At 55.8% G+C, this 18,628-nt stretch overlaps 1 protein-coding gene and 1 non-coding gene across 51 annotated transcripts in view, besides 1 other annotated feature; one reads left to right on the top strand and one right to left on the bottom strand.

Annotated features, from left to right (window-relative positions):
* The window catches only part of GAK (cyclin G associated kinase), an 83,040-nt gene that overhangs the window by 53,380 nt on the left and 11,032 nt on the right, over window positions 1-18,628 (top strand). For 24 of the 48 annotated variants that reach the window (XM_047450019.1, XM_017007992.2, XM_047450021.1 and 21 more), the window contains 8 exons: window positions 1,128-1,322; window positions 1,730-1,847; window positions 2,328-2,407; window positions 8,033-8,226; window positions 10,252-10,398; window positions 11,505-11,981; window positions 12,403-12,573; window positions 13,693-13,815. In XM_047450019.1, coding sequence (XP_047305975.1) covers window positions 1,128-1,322; window positions 1,730-1,847; window positions 2,328-2,407; window positions 8,033-8,226; window positions 10,252-10,398; window positions 11,505-11,981; window positions 12,403-12,573; window positions 13,693-13,815 — 1,505 coding nt within the window. The remainder of the gene's footprint in view (window positions 1-1,127; window positions 1,323-1,729; window positions 1,848-2,327; window positions 2,408-8,032; window positions 8,227-10,251; window positions 10,399-11,504; window positions 11,982-12,402; window positions 12,574-13,692; window positions 13,816-18,628) is intronic. The other 24 variants (XM_047450022.1, XM_047450025.1, XM_047450031.1 and 21 more) reach the window with 3 other exon arrangements.
* Window positions 3,643-5,869, bottom strand: LOC105374341 (uncharacterized). 3 transcript variants are annotated; one of them, XR_001741544.2, is made up of 3 exons: window positions 5,712-5,869; window positions 4,296-5,636; window positions 3,643-3,895 (listed from the first exon to the last, which is right to left on the bottom strand). It is a non-coding gene; the product is annotated as an uncharacterized LOC105374341 (transcript). The 3 variants fall into 3 exon arrangements; XR_007057988.1 differs by having other exon boundaries at window positions 5,209-5,636; XR_001741545.2 differs by lacking the exon at window positions 3,643-3,895 and having other exon boundaries at window positions 4,155-4,425; window positions 5,209-5,636.
* Window positions 11,401-12,600: an enhancer, noted in NCBI's record as "CDK7 strongly-dependent group 2 enhancer chr4:860125-861324 (GRCh37/hg19 assembly coordinates)". NCBI's record gives its function as "activates an origin of replication core promoter dependent on BRD2, BRD4, P300/CBP, MED14 and CDK7 cofactors, with strong dependence on CDK7, by STARR-seq in HCT116 cells {active_cell/tissue: HCT116}" and the evidence as "EXISTENCE:reporter gene assay evidence [ECO:0000049][PMID:35650434]".

Genomic DNA, 18,628 nt, shown 5'->3' with positions numbered 1-18,628 from the left:
GCCACAGTGTCCTGTGGCTGGGAAGATGGGGTCTGCACCGTCACCATAGAAGTGGTGTCACCTGCCTGGCCCGCACAAGCTCCGGGAGAGGGCCTCCTGCAGGGCATGGGTGCCACGAGGTGGGAGGCAGACTCTGGGGGGTTTATGCTCCACAGAGGCACCACGGGAACGCCAGCCACGGGAAAGCCAGAGCTGTGCTACCAAGGTCAGAGAAAACAGATTCCATTCCACATCCATCAGGCAAAAACTGATCAAATTGAAAGGAGAACCAGACAACTCATTTGTAGGGTAGACCTCAATATTTTCGTCTCAGTAATCCGTAGAACAAGTAGACAGACCACCAGCAGGGATATAGAAGAACCGAATGTGCCAACCCATGAAGGCTGACACAGCTGTAGAGCGTTCTAGGACGTTCCACCCAACAATAGAAAAACACACATTTATTTCTTTCAAATGCACATGGAATATGCAAGGAGAAAGATCAGATTTGGGGCTATAAACACACCTCAATACATTTTTAAAATTTGAAATCAGACAAACTATGCTGTCAGGCCACAGTGGAATAAAAATTGAAATCAATACCAGAAGAATATCTGGAAAACTCTCTAAATCTCCACCTCCCAGGTTTAAGCAGTTCTCCTGCCTTAGCCCTCCCGAGTAGCTGGGATTACAGGTGCACACCACCAAGTCCGGCTGATTTTTGCATTTTTAGTAGAGAGAGGGTTTCACCGTGTTGCCCAGGCTGGTCTCAAACTCCTGACCTTGTGATCCACCTGCCTTGGCCTCCCAAAGTGCTAGGATTACAGGCGTGAGCCACCGCGCCTGGCCTCAAAATTAAGCAACTTCTAAATAACCCATGAGTAAAAGTGGGAGTATCACGAGAAATTTAAAAATATCTTCAACTAGGGCGTATTTTTAAGACTCTGTCTTAAAAATACATATATGTATACACACACACATATATATATAACTAAATGAAAATTATAACATCAGATTTGTTAGGAGCAACTAAAACATTGCTACAAGGGAAATTTCTAGCATGAAAAACTTCTATTCGAAAGACAAAATCAGCTGTGTGGTCCCCTCTCAGGGCACGTCACGTGGTGACGCGGCACGTCTGCCCCCAGGTACATCGAGTACATGTGTGACATGGTGGCGGAGGAGCCCATCACACCCCACAGCAAGCCCATCCTGGTGAGGGCCGTGGTCATGACACCCGTGCCGCTGTTCAGCAAGCAGAGGAGCGGCTGCAGGCCCTTCTGCGAGGTCTACGTGGGGGACGAGCGTGTGGCCAGCACCTCCCAGGAGTACGACAAGATGCGGTGAGTGCAGCTGCAGCCCCACGCTGTGCTCCCTCCTCCTCACCCCTCCGGAAAACCGTTAAAGAGGAACCCTGGCCTTGCCGGGGACAGGCGCTTGCTGAGGCGGACGTGTTTGGAACTGTGGCGTCTGTGGCAGGTCACTTGGGATCCTGGTCAGCAGCAGGAGGTCACAGGGATCCGAGTGTCCAGGAGACTTGAGAATGGGATCCTGGTCAGCAGCAGGAGGTCACAGGGATCCGAGTGCCCAGGAGACTTTAGAATTCTTGTGAGGCTCTTCATGGGGGTTATTCTTTATTGGTTATTACACATTTTAGCTAAGTGGACAATTTCTCATTCTGTTTTTTGTTGTTTTTGTTTGGTTGGTTTTGGGGGTTTTTAAAATTTTTCTCTTGTCATTCTGTCCTTAGGGACTTTAAGATTGAAGATGGCAAAGCGGTGATTCCCCTGGGCGTCACGGTGCAAGGAGACGTGCTCATCGTCATCTATCACGCCCGGTCCACTCTGGGCGGCCGGCTGCAGGCCAAGGTGAGAGAGCCTGTGGCTTGCCCGGTGCTCCCCACTCACGCCTAGGCTCATGGGGGGCTGGGGGCCACAGTGCGCTCACTTCTCACCGAGGGTCCAGGGTGCTCGCTGTTTGGTGAGTGCCGTGGGCTCTCATGTGGCGACTGCCCCACAGCGCCCCCTGCTTGCCCCGTGCACTTGACGCGGCAGGATCTCAACCTGAAAAGCCTGGCGTTTCCATCGAGACTGAGTTTGAGGGTCCACTTGGGGCAGCCCCCACGGCAGTCCCGTGAAGCAGCTTGTGGGCCCATGCGTTCTCCTCAGGGTTACCTGCCACACACAGACCCTCTCCCGCTTCCCCCACAACATGTGGCACGGGGGCGCCGTCCATGCCTCCAGCACCATGAGCCGCTCTCAGATCTCGCCCATTGGGAAAAATTGGCCTGTGGCCCCAGGATCTGGATTCACCCTCCACGTGGGGTGTCGTGTTTGCTCTCTTTGCAGATGGCATCCATGAAGATGTTCCAGATTCAGTTCCACACGGGGTTTGTGCCTCGGAACGCCACCACTGTGAAATTTGCCAAGTACGTTGGTACCGCTTGTGCTCGGTGGGGAGGGACAGGTGCCCTGTGCCGCAGCACCTGCATGTGGGCCGGTCGTGGGAGCCCCAGGGGGAGTGGCGGGCTGTGTGACTGCTGCTTGGTGGCTCTGGGCCTGTTCCTGGGCCATCCTGGAGCTGCGCGTGTGTAGGCTGCTGGGGTGGACCCGGTGGCTGCTGCTCTGCCCCCCCGTTGGTGTGTGTGTCTGTTAGAATTTAGCCCTCACACCCGGGCGTGGCGTAAGCAGGTGAGCGGGTGGCGGCTGCATCTTAGCAAACGTTCCTGAGCCTGCTGTGTGCAGAGTGCCCTGCCAGGCGGAGGCTGGAGATGATGCGGGGCAGTCCTGTCTGGAAGCTCACACTCTGTTGTTAGCTCCCTCTGTAAACAAGCGCAGCCACGGGATGGCCCCCACCCCTGCCATGCCCAGCACCTGTTAGCTCTCTGTCCTCTTGACGTTGGTGCCCAACAGCGCATACCCTGCCCTCTGCAGGCTCAGGTGCAGATGCGGTGAGCAGCAGAGCAGGCTCTCACACCCGGGCGTCCTGATTCTAACTGGAGGTCTGTCTTTTTTTTTGAGACAGAGTCTCGCTCTAACGCCCAGGCCGGAGTGCAATGGCGCAATCTCGGCTCACTGCAACTCCACCCACCAGGCTCAAGCGATTCTCTCGCCTCAGCCTCCTGAGTAGCTGGGATTACAGATCTGCACCACCACGCATGGCTAAGTTTTGTATTTTTAGTAGAGATGGGTTTCACTATGTTGGCCAGGCTGGTCTTGAATTCCTGACCTCAAGTGATCCACCTGCCTCGGCCTCCCATTTAACTGGAGATCTTTCTACTCAATCACAGGCAGGCTTATCTGCCAAGACACAGTGGAACAAACATTGTTCCAGGAGTCAGAGGGGGCACCCACGGGGGCTCCCAAGACAGAGGCTGTGGCTGCAGGGCCTGCTGTGTTCCAGGCTCTGTGCTCTTGGTTCCTACCCAGTAAACAAAGGGAAGCCTTGGGCCAGCCCCACGGGGATGCTGGCGGACTCTGCACCTTGGGAGGGGTGCTGGCCTGGCCTGGGTGAGCTCAGGAAGAGCTGGCGCCTGCTGCTGTCAGGGACGGCCTGCACCGGGAGACCGGGGTGTCTTCTTGTGTTTTTCTGTCTCTGTGATTCTTTTTTTACATCTCTTGTCTTTGTTGTGTCTTACGCTTTTCTTTTTTTAACTCACATATTCGCAACTTTAATAATTTTGTTTCTTTTTTCCTCCTTTGGAGGAAGAAAAACACCCAGTGCTCTTAGAGTTTTCAGCCACGGTGGAGGCGGTGCTTAAAATAGTGTTTTAAAGACCAAGGTACTGATGATGAAGAGGAAAATGTCGGTGAAGGACCTGTCGGGGACTTAAATGCTGGAGGCAGGAGGCAGGGACTTTGGTAACTGATTGATTATTCAAGAAAGTCGGGGGAATGATGGGAATTTCACCAGAGATCTGGAACATAAAAAGGAGACAGATGTGAATTCTAGAACTGAAAAATATTACAGCCGAAATGAAGGCTTCAGTACATGATTAACAGTGGAATAGGCACAGCAGAACAGACTCTGAATTGGTAGAAAAGATCTTCTGACAGCAGCGCAGAGAAGAAAGGATGGAAGAAGACACGTACAGAGAGGGTCACGAGAGAGACTGTGGCACTGCAGGGGCCTGGCATGCTTTTACTTGAAGTTCTAGGAGAAGAGAGAGAGTGGAACAGAAATAATACTTGAAAAATCATTGGCCAAAAATTTTCCTAAACTGATGGAGGACGTCAGAACCACGAAATCAAGCTCTGCAGACGCCAAAGAGGATACTTTTTTTTTTTTTAACAAAAAGAAGAAAAGAGGTTCAGTACCTCAGAGCATCCTGGTTGAATTGCTGGAACCCGAAGAGAACAATCTCCAGCCCGAGGACAGGACGGGGTGGGAATGCATGACCTGCAGAGTGACACCCGAAGGCAGCTGAGGCGCGCCGTCTCTAAAGTGCTGAGAGAAAAATACGGGAATTCTATATCCAGTGAAATTATCCTTGAAATATGAAAGCCAGTTAAGGATGTCTTCAGCCAAGCAAAGGATGAGAGAGTTGATTGTTGGCAGAACTGCTCCATTTCAGCAAGTATCCAAGGCAAGCCTGCAAAGCCTGCAGCCTAGGGAAGGAAGGGCAGGGAGGCTGGAATGCATGACTCTGTGGTGAAATGACACCAGCACCAGCTGCTTAAAACACCAATACTAACGTCCTGTGGGTTTTAAAACCTGTTTGGTAGTAACATATCTGACAGCAGGAGCACCAGCGCGTGCGCACACACAGACAGCAGGAGCACCAACACACGTGTGCATGTACACACACACAAGCACCAGCGCGCACACACACACACAGCCGAGGAGGGGATTAACCGAGTGAATGTGTTTCAGGAGCTCCATCACCAGGAAGCAGAGAATGTACCAATCCCTAGGGCAGATTAAAGATGCAATCAAGAAGAAAAATGGAACAAAAAATATGTGATGAATTCGCCAGAACAACGTAGAGATAAACAAACAAACCCAGGTGGGATATAGATAGAAAACAGCCAGCTGGTAGACCGACGCCCTGCTGTGCCTGTCAGTCATCCCATTGAAGGTGGATAGAAGACACACTCCAGTTAATCGGGCTGGATTAAAAACCAAGCTCACACAAAACTCAAGTCTATACTGCTTACAGGAGCCATACTTCAAAACCCTTGCACACGAAGACCTAGCAAGGCTGAAGTGGAATAATTGGAAATTGCTTACCATGCAGACCATAACAGGAAGAAGGCTGGTGTCACTGTCCATATCAGGTGGGATAGACCAAGGCAGGAGGTGACGGGTGACGTTGCAGGGGCGAGGGCAGTGACATGGCTTCAGTACAGGCAGCACAAAGGGCAGAAGGAGGGGTGAAGTTGACAGGCCCACGCTGATGGCCGCCTCTCTCCCCAGGCAGTGGAACAGGTAGACAAGAACAGGATATAGTTTTTTTTTTTTTACAAGGTTTAACCAACTTGACCTGAGTTTTGCAAACTTCAGCGAATACTTGGAGAAATGGCATCTGTTCAAGTGGGCGTTTATTAAAGTGGACTCCACGTTGGGTCATACAGCAAGTCTCAAGGCATCTCAACAGTGGATTAAAGTGGGAATCAGTGACAGGAAAACACCCAGAGACCGTATGCTCGTTAAGTGACCTGTGTGCCAAAAAGGAAATCACTGTTGAAATGAGAAAATATTTTAAACACATTGATAATCAAAATACCACTTACCAGATGTGTGGGGTGCATCTGAAGCAGGGTTTAGAGGAAATGTGTAACTTCAAATGCATACATTAAAAGGAAGAAAGGTTGGTTGCGCACAGTGGCTTACAGCTGTAATTCCAACACTTTGGGAGGCAGGAGGATTGCTTGAACCTGCGAGATCAAGGCTGCGCTGTGGGCGAGAGGCGTGTTCCCTGCGTGGTGAGCCTGCGCCGTGCCTGGGCGAGAGGCGTGTTCCCTGCGTGGTGAGCCTGCGCCGTGCCTGGGCGAGAGGCGTGTTCCCTGCGTGGTGAGCCTGCGCCGTGCCTGGGCGAGAGGAGCACAGGGTTGCAGCCATGGCACAGATGTAACAGCTGAGCCTGTCAGGAGTCCGCTCTGCCCTGTTGGAGCTAGTCTGGCAGGAGCCTGCGGGCAGTGTCCTCTGCAGTCCAGGGCTCTCGGGAGTGGCCAGCCCTGCTCACAGACCTCATTGTGCCCTCAGCGCCAGGCTGGGTGAGCCGAGCCTGCAGGCCCAGTGCCCAGGGCCATCTCAAGGGGCAGCTGGGGGAGGGAGGCTGGGCATGAGCGGCACTCCCTCTGGGGCTGCCCAAGTTCGGTCTGTCCCAGGACCCAAGCCCGTCTGGCCGACCTGGCTCCCTGCACACTCCCTCCCTCCGTGCCCCTCCCACTGTGCCTCTCCGCCCTCGGTCGTGGCCGGTCTGAGCCTCCGCTGCGGTGGCCGTCGGATTCTCTGCTGGTGCCTGCAGGCTCCTCTGCAGACGTTGCCTCCTCCACATCTCCACGCCAGCTGTGCCACCGCTGTGCAGTCCCTGCCACCCCTGACGACAGACAGCGGCACGCAAAGAGGCTCGGGCGCAGGGGGAAGCTCGTGTTGGCCCCGGCTGGAGTGCACATCAGTCCCGGCTTCGGCCGTGGCCACCTCCGCCCAGAGCCTTGAGTGGGCATTGAGGGGGCGCTGCTCTGCGTGAGGTTGGCCACCCCTCAGGGCGGGCACAGGGTGCTCTCCCCTCGTGCAGGGAGAGGATGTTTTAGAGGGTGAGCAGGAAGGGGTGAACTAGAGGCCTTTCACACATCACAGGCATGTGTGGAGCTCAGAGAAGTGACAGTTAAAACCAGCCGTGGCTCTGACCCACACAGGCCGCCGGGCCCGTCTCCCTGCCCTCCCTCGGCGGATCCCACTCTGCTCTGGGTGTTCCTGGCCCTGCAGACACTGGCAGCCTGGGTTTCCCAGGAACTGGCCGCCACTCTTTTGTGTTTCTTCTTTATTTTCTTAGGTGTATAACATTCAACATGTAGAGATTTTAGGTGGCGTAAAATAAGACAGGCATGGGGAGCCTGCTGCCCGCTGGAGAGCCCAGGCTTATCAGTGCAGTTTATGACAGTGGGATCAGAGATGATCATAGGAAATGTGTGAAATAGCCTGGAATTCCTTAGAGAGCTGTGGGGCTGGGAAATGGTCAGTGTCAGGTCACACCTGCCTCCCCGTGCGGCCAACACCCCAAGGCGGGCCCTGCTGACCCCTGCCCCTGCTCCCCACCCACATGGCCGACACCCCAAGGTGGGCCCTGCTGACCCCTGCCCTGCTCCCCACCCGCACGGCCGACACCCCAAGGCAGGCCCTGCTGACCTCTGCCCTGCTCCCCACAGCTCAGCCTGGGCTGCCTCCCCAGCCCCACAGTGAACACAGCTTTGTTTCCCCCGGAATCATGTTCCCAATTCCCTGGCAGCCGGATTCTAGAGGTCTTGGTTTTATGGGCATCTGTTGACAGTTGTGGATTTTTGTCAGGGCGGACGTCGTCATTTTTATGGAAAACACATTTAGTATCCCAGAGTGCGTGCTCTGAGCTGCCGGGTGGCTGCAGTCTGTGTGTGCTGGGTAGTGAGGGCCAGCGCCTGCCTTGGAACCCTGGGGTCCCACCTCAGAGCTGCCTGCCTGGGTGCCGGAGTCTCCAGCTGTGGGATGTTGTCCCGTCTGCTCTGAGCACGTGGCCTCCCCTGGAGTTGCAGGAAACATGGCGGCCCCGCCCGGTGCCCCTCTGCCTTGAACACAGTCGCGGGCATCCCCACTGTGACGTCCGAGGAGCGAGTGAAATGATGCTCTTCTGGGGCCGTGACCGGGGGTGCTGGTGCCCTGTGGGTTCCTGGGACAGCTGCTGGGTCAGCTCACAGGGCTCCAGCTTCCGCAGGCGGGGGTGGCCGGCTGCCCTGGTTGTTCTCGCCCCGCTGCCTGCAGCTGCCACCTGTTTCCATGCACGTTTCTTTAGTGAATGTCCAAGGACTTACAGACTACTTGGGTGGCCTTCCTAAGTGGTGTCTACTTGTAACCGCAGGTATGACCTGGACGCGTGTGACATTCAAGAAAAATACCCGGATTTATTTCAAGTGAACCTGGAAGTGGAGGTGGAGCCCAGGGACAGGCCGAGCCGGGAAGCCCCACCATGGGAGAACTCGAGCATGAGGGGGCTGAACCCCAAAATCCTGTTTTCCAGCCGGGAGGAGCAGCAAGACATTCTGTCTAAGTTTGGTAAGATCCCGCAGGTGAATTAGGTGAACCCTGTTCTGGTGAGTGTCTCTGTGGAGAGAGACACCTTTGGCTGAGCTCTGGCAGGGCTGGGCCCCACGCCTGCTGCTGCACCCAGGCCCTGAGCAGCTTGGGCTGCAGGAGGTTTTGGAAACTCCGTCGTGGATGTTGGACACCACCACCAGCTACACCAGAGAAGGACTCGCAGGCTGCAATTTCTGAGGCCCATGGGCAGGGACGGAGGCAGAGGGAGGAAAACCCAGGCTCCTGGAGCGAAGCGGGGTTTTGTCCCAGGCGTGTGTCTGGGTCAGATTTTTGTCATGTGTGCTGGACACACGTCCACTCTCACTGTGAGCCTCAGGCCTGCTGGCAGCATGTGGAACAGAACCCTCGCTCCTGTCGCTCTTCACTTCCGAGCAGTTTCGAAACGGCAGCCCAGGAAGTGCTGGCAGGTGGGCCCAGGGCCGTCCACTGCTCATGCCACGCTTGTTCTCGGCTCTTGGTTTGCAGTGTTTGCTTTTTCTTTCTGAGCATCTTCAGCGTCCCTGAAAGAGGCTGTATGTGTGACCTGTGCGTGCTGTGTATGTGTCCGTGGGTGGTGTGTGCCGTGTGTGTGTGTGCACGAGTGGTGTGTGCATTCATGTGTACTGTGTATCTGTGTGCTGTGTGCATTCGTGTGTACAGTGCATCTGTGTGTGCTGTGTGTGCGTTCGTGTGTACCATGCATCGGTATGTGCTGTGTGTGCGTTCGTGTGTACCGTCCATTTGTGTGTGTGCATGCATGTGTACTGTGCATCCGAGTGTGTGCATGTGTGTGTACCGTGCATCTGTGTGCGTGCATTCATGTGTACCCTGCATCTATGTGTGCTGTGTGCATTCATGTGTACTGTGCCTGTGTGTGTGCATTTGTGTGTACCATGCATCTCTGCTGTGTGTGCATTCGTGTGTACTGTGCATCTGTGTGTACTGTGTGCATTCATGTGTACTGTGCATCTGTGTGTGCTGTGTGTGCATTCATGTGTACCCTGCATGTGTGTATGTGCTGTGTGTGCATTCGTGTGTACTGTGCATCTGTGTGTGTGCATTCATGTGTACCCTGCATGTGTGTATGTGCTGTGTGTGCATTCGTGTGTACTGTGCATCTGTGTGTGTGCATTCATGTGTACCCTGCATGTGTGTATGTGCTGTGTGTGCATTCGTGTGTACTGTGCATCTGTGTGTGTGCATTCCTGTGTACCATGCATCTGTGTGTGCTGTGTGTGCATTCCTGTGTACTGTGCATTTGTGCTGTGTGTGCATTCATGTGTACCGTGCATCTGTGTGTGCTTTGCATTCGTGTGTACCCTGCATGTGTGTATGTGCTGTGTGTGCATTCGTGTGTACTGTGCATCTGTGTGCTGTGTGTGCATTCATGTGTACTGTGCATCTGTGTGTGTGCTGTGTGTGCATTCATGTGTACCCTGCATCTGTGTGTGTGCTGTCTGTGCATCCGTGTGTACCATGCATCTGTGTGTGCATTCATGTGTACTGTGCATCTGTGTGTGCTGTGTGTATTCATGTGTACCCTGCATCTATGTGTGTGCTGTCTGTGCATTCGTGTATACTGTGCATCTGTGTGTGCTGTGTGTGCATTCGTGTGTACCCTGCATCTGTGTGTGTGCATTTGTGTGTACTGTGCGCCTGTGTGTGTGCTCTATGCATTCGTGTGTACCGTGCAGCTGTGTGTGTGCATTCATGTGTACCCTGCATATGTGTGGCGTTTGATGCCTCAGTGGTGGGTTCCTTGTGCGTGTTCATGTGTGCGTGTGCTGTGCCCAAGTGTGCACGCATGGCCCAGAGTGGCATCCGAGTGGATAGCAGGAATCTGTTCAGAGAGCCCCTCCCCGTCATGTCATTGGTCTGCTTTACCGATGGCCTGGCCTGCCACGGTGCTGGCGCCCGCCTGGCTGCACTTCCCAGCTCTGGGGTCAGTGTTGCCCCGAGGCTGCTGGCCAGTGCCAGTGCCCTGACGCCCTCCCTCTCCTGCAGGGAAGCCGGAGCTTCCCCGGCAGCCTGGCTCCACGGCTCAGTATGATGCTGGGGCAGGGTCCCCGGAAGCCGAACCCACAGACTCTGACTCACCGCCAAGCAGCAGCGCGGACGCCAGTCGCTTCCTGCACACGCTGGACTGGCAGGGTAGGCAGCGTCCCTGGACCTGGCCACTTGCAGAGGGCAGGCCCCTGGTCTGGAGGTGCCCCTGGGGCAGGGCAAGCGTCTTGGGAGACGGGCCTCCGGCAGAGCTGAGTTGCACCTCAGTGGGGCTGTGCACCCGGCATGTCAGCCTGTTCTTTAATGGCTCACGAGCTAAGAATGATTTCATATCTTTTTAAAGGTGAAAAAAAAAGAACATGCCCACAAAGTCTGAAATAACAACCCTCGCTCTTCATCCCAGTCTGTGGGCCTGGGGAGGCTGGCAGCATGGGCCATGCTGGCGGGGCCCCTGGGTACAGGGGAAGGGCCTGGGCGGAGGGACAGACTGTCACCACCTGGGGATCCCACACCTCTCTTTGCCCACACCCCCAGTGGGCTCCCAGCCCCTCTGAGGCTTTTCAGGAAAACACCTGGGCGCCATCACTGGACCTCACCCCAGACACACCCCAAGGGATGCACCTGCCACTTCCTGTCCCAGCACCCCTGGCCTTCCCATCGGGCTCGTCCCTTCTGCCGCCTGTTCCCAGAGCACCCTTGATTGGTGTTCCTACCCCCTAGTGCTGCCATGTGGCCCCCACTTGACTCAGCCTGAGGCACCGCAGAGGCCCAGGCGGAGAGAGCCACAGGCAGACCCTTGAGGCAGAGGCTGGAGGTGGGTGTGCTGGAGACGCCTCAGGAACAACACCCCACCGCCCGCCCAGAAGCTTCTGCAGCACTCGCCAGGGCCCTGGGCCAAGGAGGCGCTGAGGGGCCGTGCCATGGGGACATTGGTGCTGGCCATGTGGGTTCGCCAAGGCCCTGGGCTGAGGGGACGCGCCGTGGGGACCCTGGTGTTCCTGCAGCACTTGCCAAGGCCCTGGGCCGAGGAGGTGCCGAGGGGCCATGCCATGGGGACCCTGGTGCTGGCCACGTGTGTTCACCAAGGCCCTGGGCCGAGGAGGCCCTGAAGGGACGCGCCGTGGGGACCCTGGTGCTGGCCACGTGTGTTCACCAAGGCCCTGGGCCGAGGAGGCCCTGAAGGGACGCGCCGTGGGGACCCTGGTGCTGGCCGTGTGGTCTCACTAGCCTGTGGTTTTGTTTCCTTTTCGCAGAAGAGAAGGAGGCAGAGACTGGTGCAGAAAATGCCTCTTCCAAGGAGAGCGAGTCTGCCCTGATGGAGGACAGAGACGAGAGTGAGGTGTCAGATGAAGGGGGATCCCCGATCTCCAGCGAGGGCCAGGAACCCAGGGCCGACCCAGAGCCCCCCGGCCTGGCAGCAGGGCTGGTGCAGCAGGACTTGGTTTTTGAGGTGGAGACACCGGCTGTGCTGCCAGAGCCTGTGCCACAGGAAGACGGGGTCGACCTCCTGGGCCTGCACTCCGAGGTGGGCGCAGGGCCAGCTGTACCCCCGCAGGCCTGCAAGGCCCCCTCCAGCAACACCGACCTGCTCAGCTGCCTCCTTGGGCCCCCTGAGGCCGCCTCCCAGGGGCCCCCGGAGGATCTGCTCAGCGAGGACCCGCTGCTCCTGGCAAGCCCGGCCCCTCCCCTGAGCGTGCAGAGCACCCCAAGAGGAGGGCCCCCTGCCGCTGGTACGTGTTTCTGTTCTGAAGGCGAGTGGCTTCACAGTAGATGAGTGATGAGGCTGAGTCATTCTCACTGCATGGGCGTGTTTCGAAGGTGCTTGCAGGAAGGGAACGTGCCCTTCCCCCACCTCCCCCAGGAGCAGCCTCGGGGTCATGTCAGGGTTCTGTGCTGCCCACCTGAGCTCACGGGCCGGGAGCTACTGGCTTCTCCATCTCAGCAGTGTTGCTGTGTCCCTGGGAAAGTCATCCTGAGGCGTGGGGCACGGGGAGCCCCTGGGCTGACTGCCTCAGTGCCCCTGCGAGGGCAGCCGTGGGGTCTGGGCTGCCCAGCTGGAGTGGCCTCTTGGGCAGGCCTGACTCCAGAGCTGGGCTCCTTTGTCTTCAGGCAGCCGGGCTGAGTCCTCCCCATGCCCGCCTGTCCCCACAGCTGACCCCTTTGGCCCGCTTCTGCCGTCTTCAGGCAACAACTCCCAGCCCTGCTCCAATCCTGATCTCTTCGGCGAATTTCTCAATTCGGACTCTGTGACCGTCCCACCATCCTTCCCGTCTGCCCACAGTGCTCCGCCCCCATCCTGCAGCGCCGACTTCCTGCACCTGGGTAAGTGCCTCTCGCCTGGCAGCCAGCTCTCCATGGCCGCCTCCCTCAGGACCGCAGCCTCTGGTGGGAAACAGAGCTGTGGGTCTCAGGCAGTGGTGGGGCTGGACTGTGTGGCCTCCGGGTGCGCTCCTTGCGGCCCAAGCATCCTGCAGGACGTCCCAGAGGTCAGGACAGACTGCTCCCTGCTCTGTCTCCCCAAACCATCCCCAAACCTGGAACAGGTTGTGGGGCCCTGCAGTGCCTCAGTCGTCTGTGACTGGCAACAGGTGTTTCTCCAGGCCTCCTCAGGCCCAGGCCTTGCAGCTGTTAGCAGAGAAGGCCACCTGCACCCAGAGCTTGTGTAGGGACCAGAGGTCAGAGGGAGGCAGCTGGGGGACCCAGGGTCCGGGAAGCTGACCTGGTCTGGGTGTAGCAGGGGCCGTGGGGCACCGTATCCATGGGGAGGAGGTCAGGCGCCGGGGCACAGCATGGCTTGTTTAGACAGACGCCGGTGGGGCCAGGCCCTGGGAGAGGGCTGCGCGCCCCTCCAGTGTGGTCCTAGGGGAAGGAGCCTGGGTTCTCTCTCCTGAGGAGGCAGCAGCGTGGTCCACGGCGTACTCTGGGGTGATGATGGTGACCATTGCAGGATGGCTTGTGGGCGGGTGTGTGGAGTGCAGCCTTGCAGCGTTGGGGCGGGTGCCGCCAGAGGTGTGCTGCGTGGCCAGAGCCAGGGCAGACAGGACCTGCTGGGCCCTCTGTCTGCCGAAGGCAGCTCAGCCAGGTGGAGCCACCTCGGGCTCTGGTGGGTTTTAGGAGAGGCGGGAACGCAGGCTGTGGGGATGGCGGCAGAAAGTGGGGTCCTGACAAACCCTTTTGGATGGGAATGCGCAGATGCTTGTTCTCAGCCTGGCCTGCGAGCTGCTCCGCCTGCTGGTGCCCCTACGTCCACTCGCTCAGTTCTGTGTGATGGGATGCATCCTCAGGACCCTTCAGGAAGAGAGAGGCCGTCAGCCCAGCCTCAGCTCAGCCTGGGTGCAAGAGGTGTCCGCTCCTAGGGCCCTGAGCACAGCCTGGCGCCCCGCCACATTTGCCTGCTGCTGAGACACCAAACTGTGCTCTCTTCTGGTTCCTTCTTCCCAGGGGATCTGCCAGGAGAGCCCAGCAAGATGACAGCCTCGTCCAGCAACCCAGACCTGCTGGGAGGATGGGCTGCCTGGACCGAGACTGCAGCATCGGCAGTGGCCCCCACGCCAGCCACAGAAGGTATGGCCACCACCCACCAAGGACAGGGCTCCCAGACGTGCAGCTGCTGTGGCCCGTCTCTATTTCACACGTACCTGTAACAGGGCCCTCTCTGCGCAGAGAAGGAAGGAAGGGCTGGGGCGTGCTTGGTGGTGCGGGCTCCGCACACAAGGCTGTGGTATGACTGCAGCGGCCTCACTCACCCGGTGTGCCTGGGGTACGTGGGGACACAGACTTGGTGTCCCAGAGCTGCAGTGGCTCCTGAGCATCAGCAGCACCCCCGAAGGGTCCTCCTCCCACCCGGCAGGGCGTCTGCGTCTGTGATGCGATTTCATGCCCCACACTCTGTGGACCACGTGCTGGCTCTGCCTGTAGCACCCCGTGGCTCTTCCCTCCTGAAGGGGTTTGTGACTGAGGCCGACCCCATGGGTCTTGTCTCGGTGTTGCGGCCGATGCCCCATGCCCTGTCAGGAAGGGGGTCATGTACAGCAGTCGTGTTTGCGACGCCCCGTGCCCTGTCAGGAAGGGGGTCACGTACAGCAGTCGTGTCTGTGAGCGTCTGTCCTTCCCGTCACCCTGGAGCCGGCCCTCCCGCGGCGTCTGGTAGCGCGGATGCGTATGCTGCAGCTGCGTCTTGGGCCGGCCTCAGCGATGTCGCGGGTTTGCTTCCAGACCACAGTCAAAGCGAACACCCCTAGAAAGCCAGTCAGATTTTGTTTTCCCAGTAAGCATAAGAGTTAAGGGGGTTTTTTGTGTGGGGTTTTGTTTTTGTTTTTGTTTTTGAGACAGGGTCTTGCTCTGTCACCCAGGCTGGAGCATAGTGGCGCAATCTCTACTCACTTCAGCATTGACCTCCTGGGCTCAAGCGATCCTCCCACCCCAGCCTCCTGAGTAACTGGGACTACAGGCATGTGCCACCATGCCCAGCTAAGTTTTAAAATTTTTTTGTGGAGACAAAGTTTTGCCATGTTGCTCAGGCTGGTCTAGAACTCCCGGGCTTAGGCGATGCATGCACCTCAGCCTCTCAGGGTGCTGGGATTACAGGCGTGAGCCACTGCACCCAGCTAAAAGTTATATTTACATTATACTGTAGTCTGGTTTTTTGTTTGTTTCTTTGGGAGATGGAGTCTTGTTCTGTTGCACAGGCTGTGGAGCGCAGTGGTGCAATCTCGGCTCACTGCATCCTCCACGTCCTGGGTTCAAGTGATTCTCCTGCCTCAGCCTCCTGAGTAGCTGGGATTACAGGTGCCTGCCACCACGCCCAACTAATTTTTGTATTTTTAGTAGAGATGAGGTTTCACTATGTTGGTCGGGCTGGTCTCGAACTCCTGACCTTGTGATCCACCCGCCTCGGCCTCCCAAAGTGCTGGGATTACAGGCGTGAGCCACCACGGCCTGGCCATAGTCTGTTAAGCGTGCAATAGCATTATGTCTAAAAAATAAATATAGTTACCTTGATTTAGAAATACTTCATTGCTAAAAAATGCTAACGATCCTGATCTTGCTGGTGGGGGTCTTGCCTCAATGTGGATGGCTGCTGACTGATCAGGGTGCTGATTCCTGAAGGCTGGGGTGGCTGTGGCCATTTCTGAAAATAAGACGATGAAGTTTGCCACGTGATTGTCTCTCCCTTTCACAAAAGGTTCCCTATGGCACGCAGTGCTCTTGGATAGCGTTTACCCACATGGAGCTTCTTCCGTCCTCCCAAACCTGCCACTGCTGTGTCAACTAAGTTTAAGGAATATTCTAAACCCTTGGCCTCATTTCAGTGTTCACAGCATCTTCACCAGGACTCGATTCCATCTCAGTAAACTACTTTCTTTGCTCATCCGTAAGAAGCAACTCCTCATCCATTCAGGTTTCATCCTGAGATTGCAGTAATTCGGTCCCATCTGCAGGCTCCACTTCTAATTCGAGTTCTCTTGCTGTTTCCACCACATCTGCAGAGACTTCCTGCACTGAAGTCTTCAACTCCTCAAAGTCATCCTTGAGGGTTGAGATCAGCTTCTCCCAAACTCTTGTTCATGTTGCTGTTTTAACCTCTTCCTGTGAATCGTGAATGTTCTTAATGGCATCTAGAATGGTGAATCCTTTCCAGAAGGTTGTCAGTGAACTTTACCCAGATCCATCAGAGGAATCTGGCCGCTATAGCCTTAGAAATGTGTTTCTTAAATAGGGAGACTTGGAAGTCGACACGACTCCTTGATCCAAGGGCTGCAGAACAGATGTTGTGTTAGCAGGCATGAAAGCAGCGTGACTGTCTGCGTACGTCTCTGTCAGAGCTTTTGGGTGACCAGCTGCATTGTCCGTATTGTCAGCGAACAGTCATATTTTGAAAGGAATCTTTTTTCTGAGCTGTAGATCTCAACAGTGGACTTAAAATATTCCATAAACCATGCTGTACACAGATGGCTGCCATCCAGGCTTTGCTGTGCCATTTCTATGGCACAAGCCGAGTCAATTTAGAATCCTTTTTTTTTTTTTTGAGACAGAGTCTCTCTTTGTCGCCCAGGCTGGAGTGCAGTGGTGTGATCTTGGCTCACTGCAAGCTCCGCCTCCCGGGTTGACACCATTCTCCTGCCTCAGCCTCCCAAGTAGCTGGGACTACAGGCGCCTGCCACCACGCCCGGCTAATTTTTTGAAACCCCTAGAGACGGGGTTTCACTGTGTTAGCCAGGATGGTCTCGATCTCCTGACCTCGTGATCCGCCCGCCTCAGCCTCCCAAAGTGCTGGGATTACAGGCGTGAGATCATCAGTGATCTCAGCCGGATCTTAGCAGATGACTTAGGCCGTCTTATATCTGCATGGAGAGTCTGGCGGGTGCAGCCGCTTCATCAGTGGTCTCAGCCGGATCTTAGCGGATGACTTAGGCCGTCTTATATCTGCATGGAGAGTCTGGCGGGTGCAGCCCCTTCATCAGTGATCTCAGCCGGATCTTAGCGGATGACTTAGGCCGTCTCATATCTGCATGGAGAGTCTGGCGGGTGCAGCCCCTTCGTCAGTGGTCTCAGCTGGATCTTAGCGGATGACTTAGGCCGTCTCGTCTGCATGGAGAGTCTGGCGGGTGCAGCCTCTTCATCAGTGGTCTCAGCTGCATCTTAGCAGATGACTTACTGCAGCTTCCCCGTCAGCGCTTGCTGCTTCACCTTGCACTTGTACGTTGCAGAGACGGCATCTTTCCTTCAGCCTCAGCCCCTGCTGGCTTCACTTTTCTTCTGCAGCGTCTTCACCTCTTTCCACCTTCATAGAATTGAAAGAGTTGAGACCTTGCTATGGATTAGGCTTTGGCTTAGGAGGATGTTGTGGCTAGTTTGACCTTCTCTCCAGATCACCCGAACTTCCTCTGTATGGGCAGTGGGGCTGGTCCGACCTTCTCTCCAGATCACCCGAACTTCCTCTGTATCAGCAATAGGGCTGGTTTGTGTTCGTATCATTCGTGTGTTCACTGGAGTGGCATTCTCATTTCCTTCAGGAACTTTTCCTTTGCATTCACAATTTGGCTTGCTGGTGCAAGAGGCCTAGCTTGTAGCTTATCTCAGCTTTCTTTTTTTTAGAGACAGGGTCTTGCTCTTGTTGTGGCTGGAGTGCAGTGGCACGATCATGGCTCACTGCAGCCTCAACCTCCTGAGCTCAAGGGATCCTCCCACCTCAGCCTCCTGGGTAGCTGGGACTACAGGCACTCATCACCATGCCCATCTAATTTTTTAAATTTATTTTTTGTAGAGATGGGGTCCGTGTTGTCCAGGCCGACCTTGAACTCCTGGGCTCAAGCACCCTCCTTCCTCAGCTGCCCACTGTGCTGGGAACACAGGCATGAGCTGCTGCACCCGGCCTTCCTCTGCTTTTGACGTGCCTTGCTCACTAAGCTCAGTTGTTCCTAGCTTTTGATTTCAAGTGAGACACTTGCAACTCTTGTGTTCACCTGAACGCTTATAGGCCGTTGTAGGTTCTGAATTGGACTGATTTCAGTAAAGTTGTGTCTCGGGGAATAGGGAGGCTTGAGAAGGAGCGAGACGGGGAGTGGCTGGTCTGTGGAGCAGCCACAGCGTGTTGTCAGTTAAGCTCGCCGTCTTCTATGGGCACAGTCCATGGCACCCCAAAACAATTAGAGCAGCAGCATCAACTCATGGGACACACATCACCAAAGCAGATGCAATCATGAAGAAGTTTGAAATATCATTACAGTTCCCAAAATGGGGCACAGGGACACAGAGTGCACATGGCGTGCGGAAAATGGTGCCGGACAGAGTTGACACAGCCCTCAGCAGGTGGAACACACACTGTCTGCAGAGCTCCGGGAGGCACAGTGCACGATGTGCCAGGGCCTGGGTGCCCGTCCCCTCGAGTGCACAGTGCGAGGTGCGCCAGGGCCTGGGTGCCCGTCCCCTCGAGTGCACAGTGCGAGGTGCGCCAGGGCCTGGGTGCCCTTCTCCCCGTGTGCACAGTGCGAGGTGCGCCAGGGCCTGGGTGCCCGTCCCCTCAAGTGCGCTTCAGGACGTCTTTGCCCAGGGGCAACTGCCATCTCCGGTTTGTCTCCTGGTTGGATGATCACTGTGAAGGTGTCTCGCCAGTTTGATTTCTTTCTTATGAATGAGGTTGACTCTTAGTTTGAGTGGTTTTGGTTACGTGTATTTCTTTTGAGAATCATTTCATGTTCTTTGCTTATTTTTTGGCCTCAGGAATTCATCTTTTTCCTCAAATAGATCCACGAGGGCTCTTTATACATGAAGAGCCTGGTTTTAATGACTGCATGGCACTCTATCAAGTAGCTCTACCACGGTTTTTTTTTTTTTTGAGACAGAGTGTCATTCTGTCACTGGGGCTGAGTGCAGT

The sequence above is a fragment of the Homo sapiens genome, chromosome 4 (assembly GCF_000001405.40).
Source record: "Homo sapiens chromosome 4, GRCh38.p14 Primary Assembly".
Lineage (NCBI taxonomy): Eukaryota > Metazoa > Chordata > Mammalia > Primates > Hominidae > Homo > Homo sapiens.
Note: the sequence above shows the minus strand (reverse complement) of the source record. Positions and strands in the feature narration are given on the sequence as shown.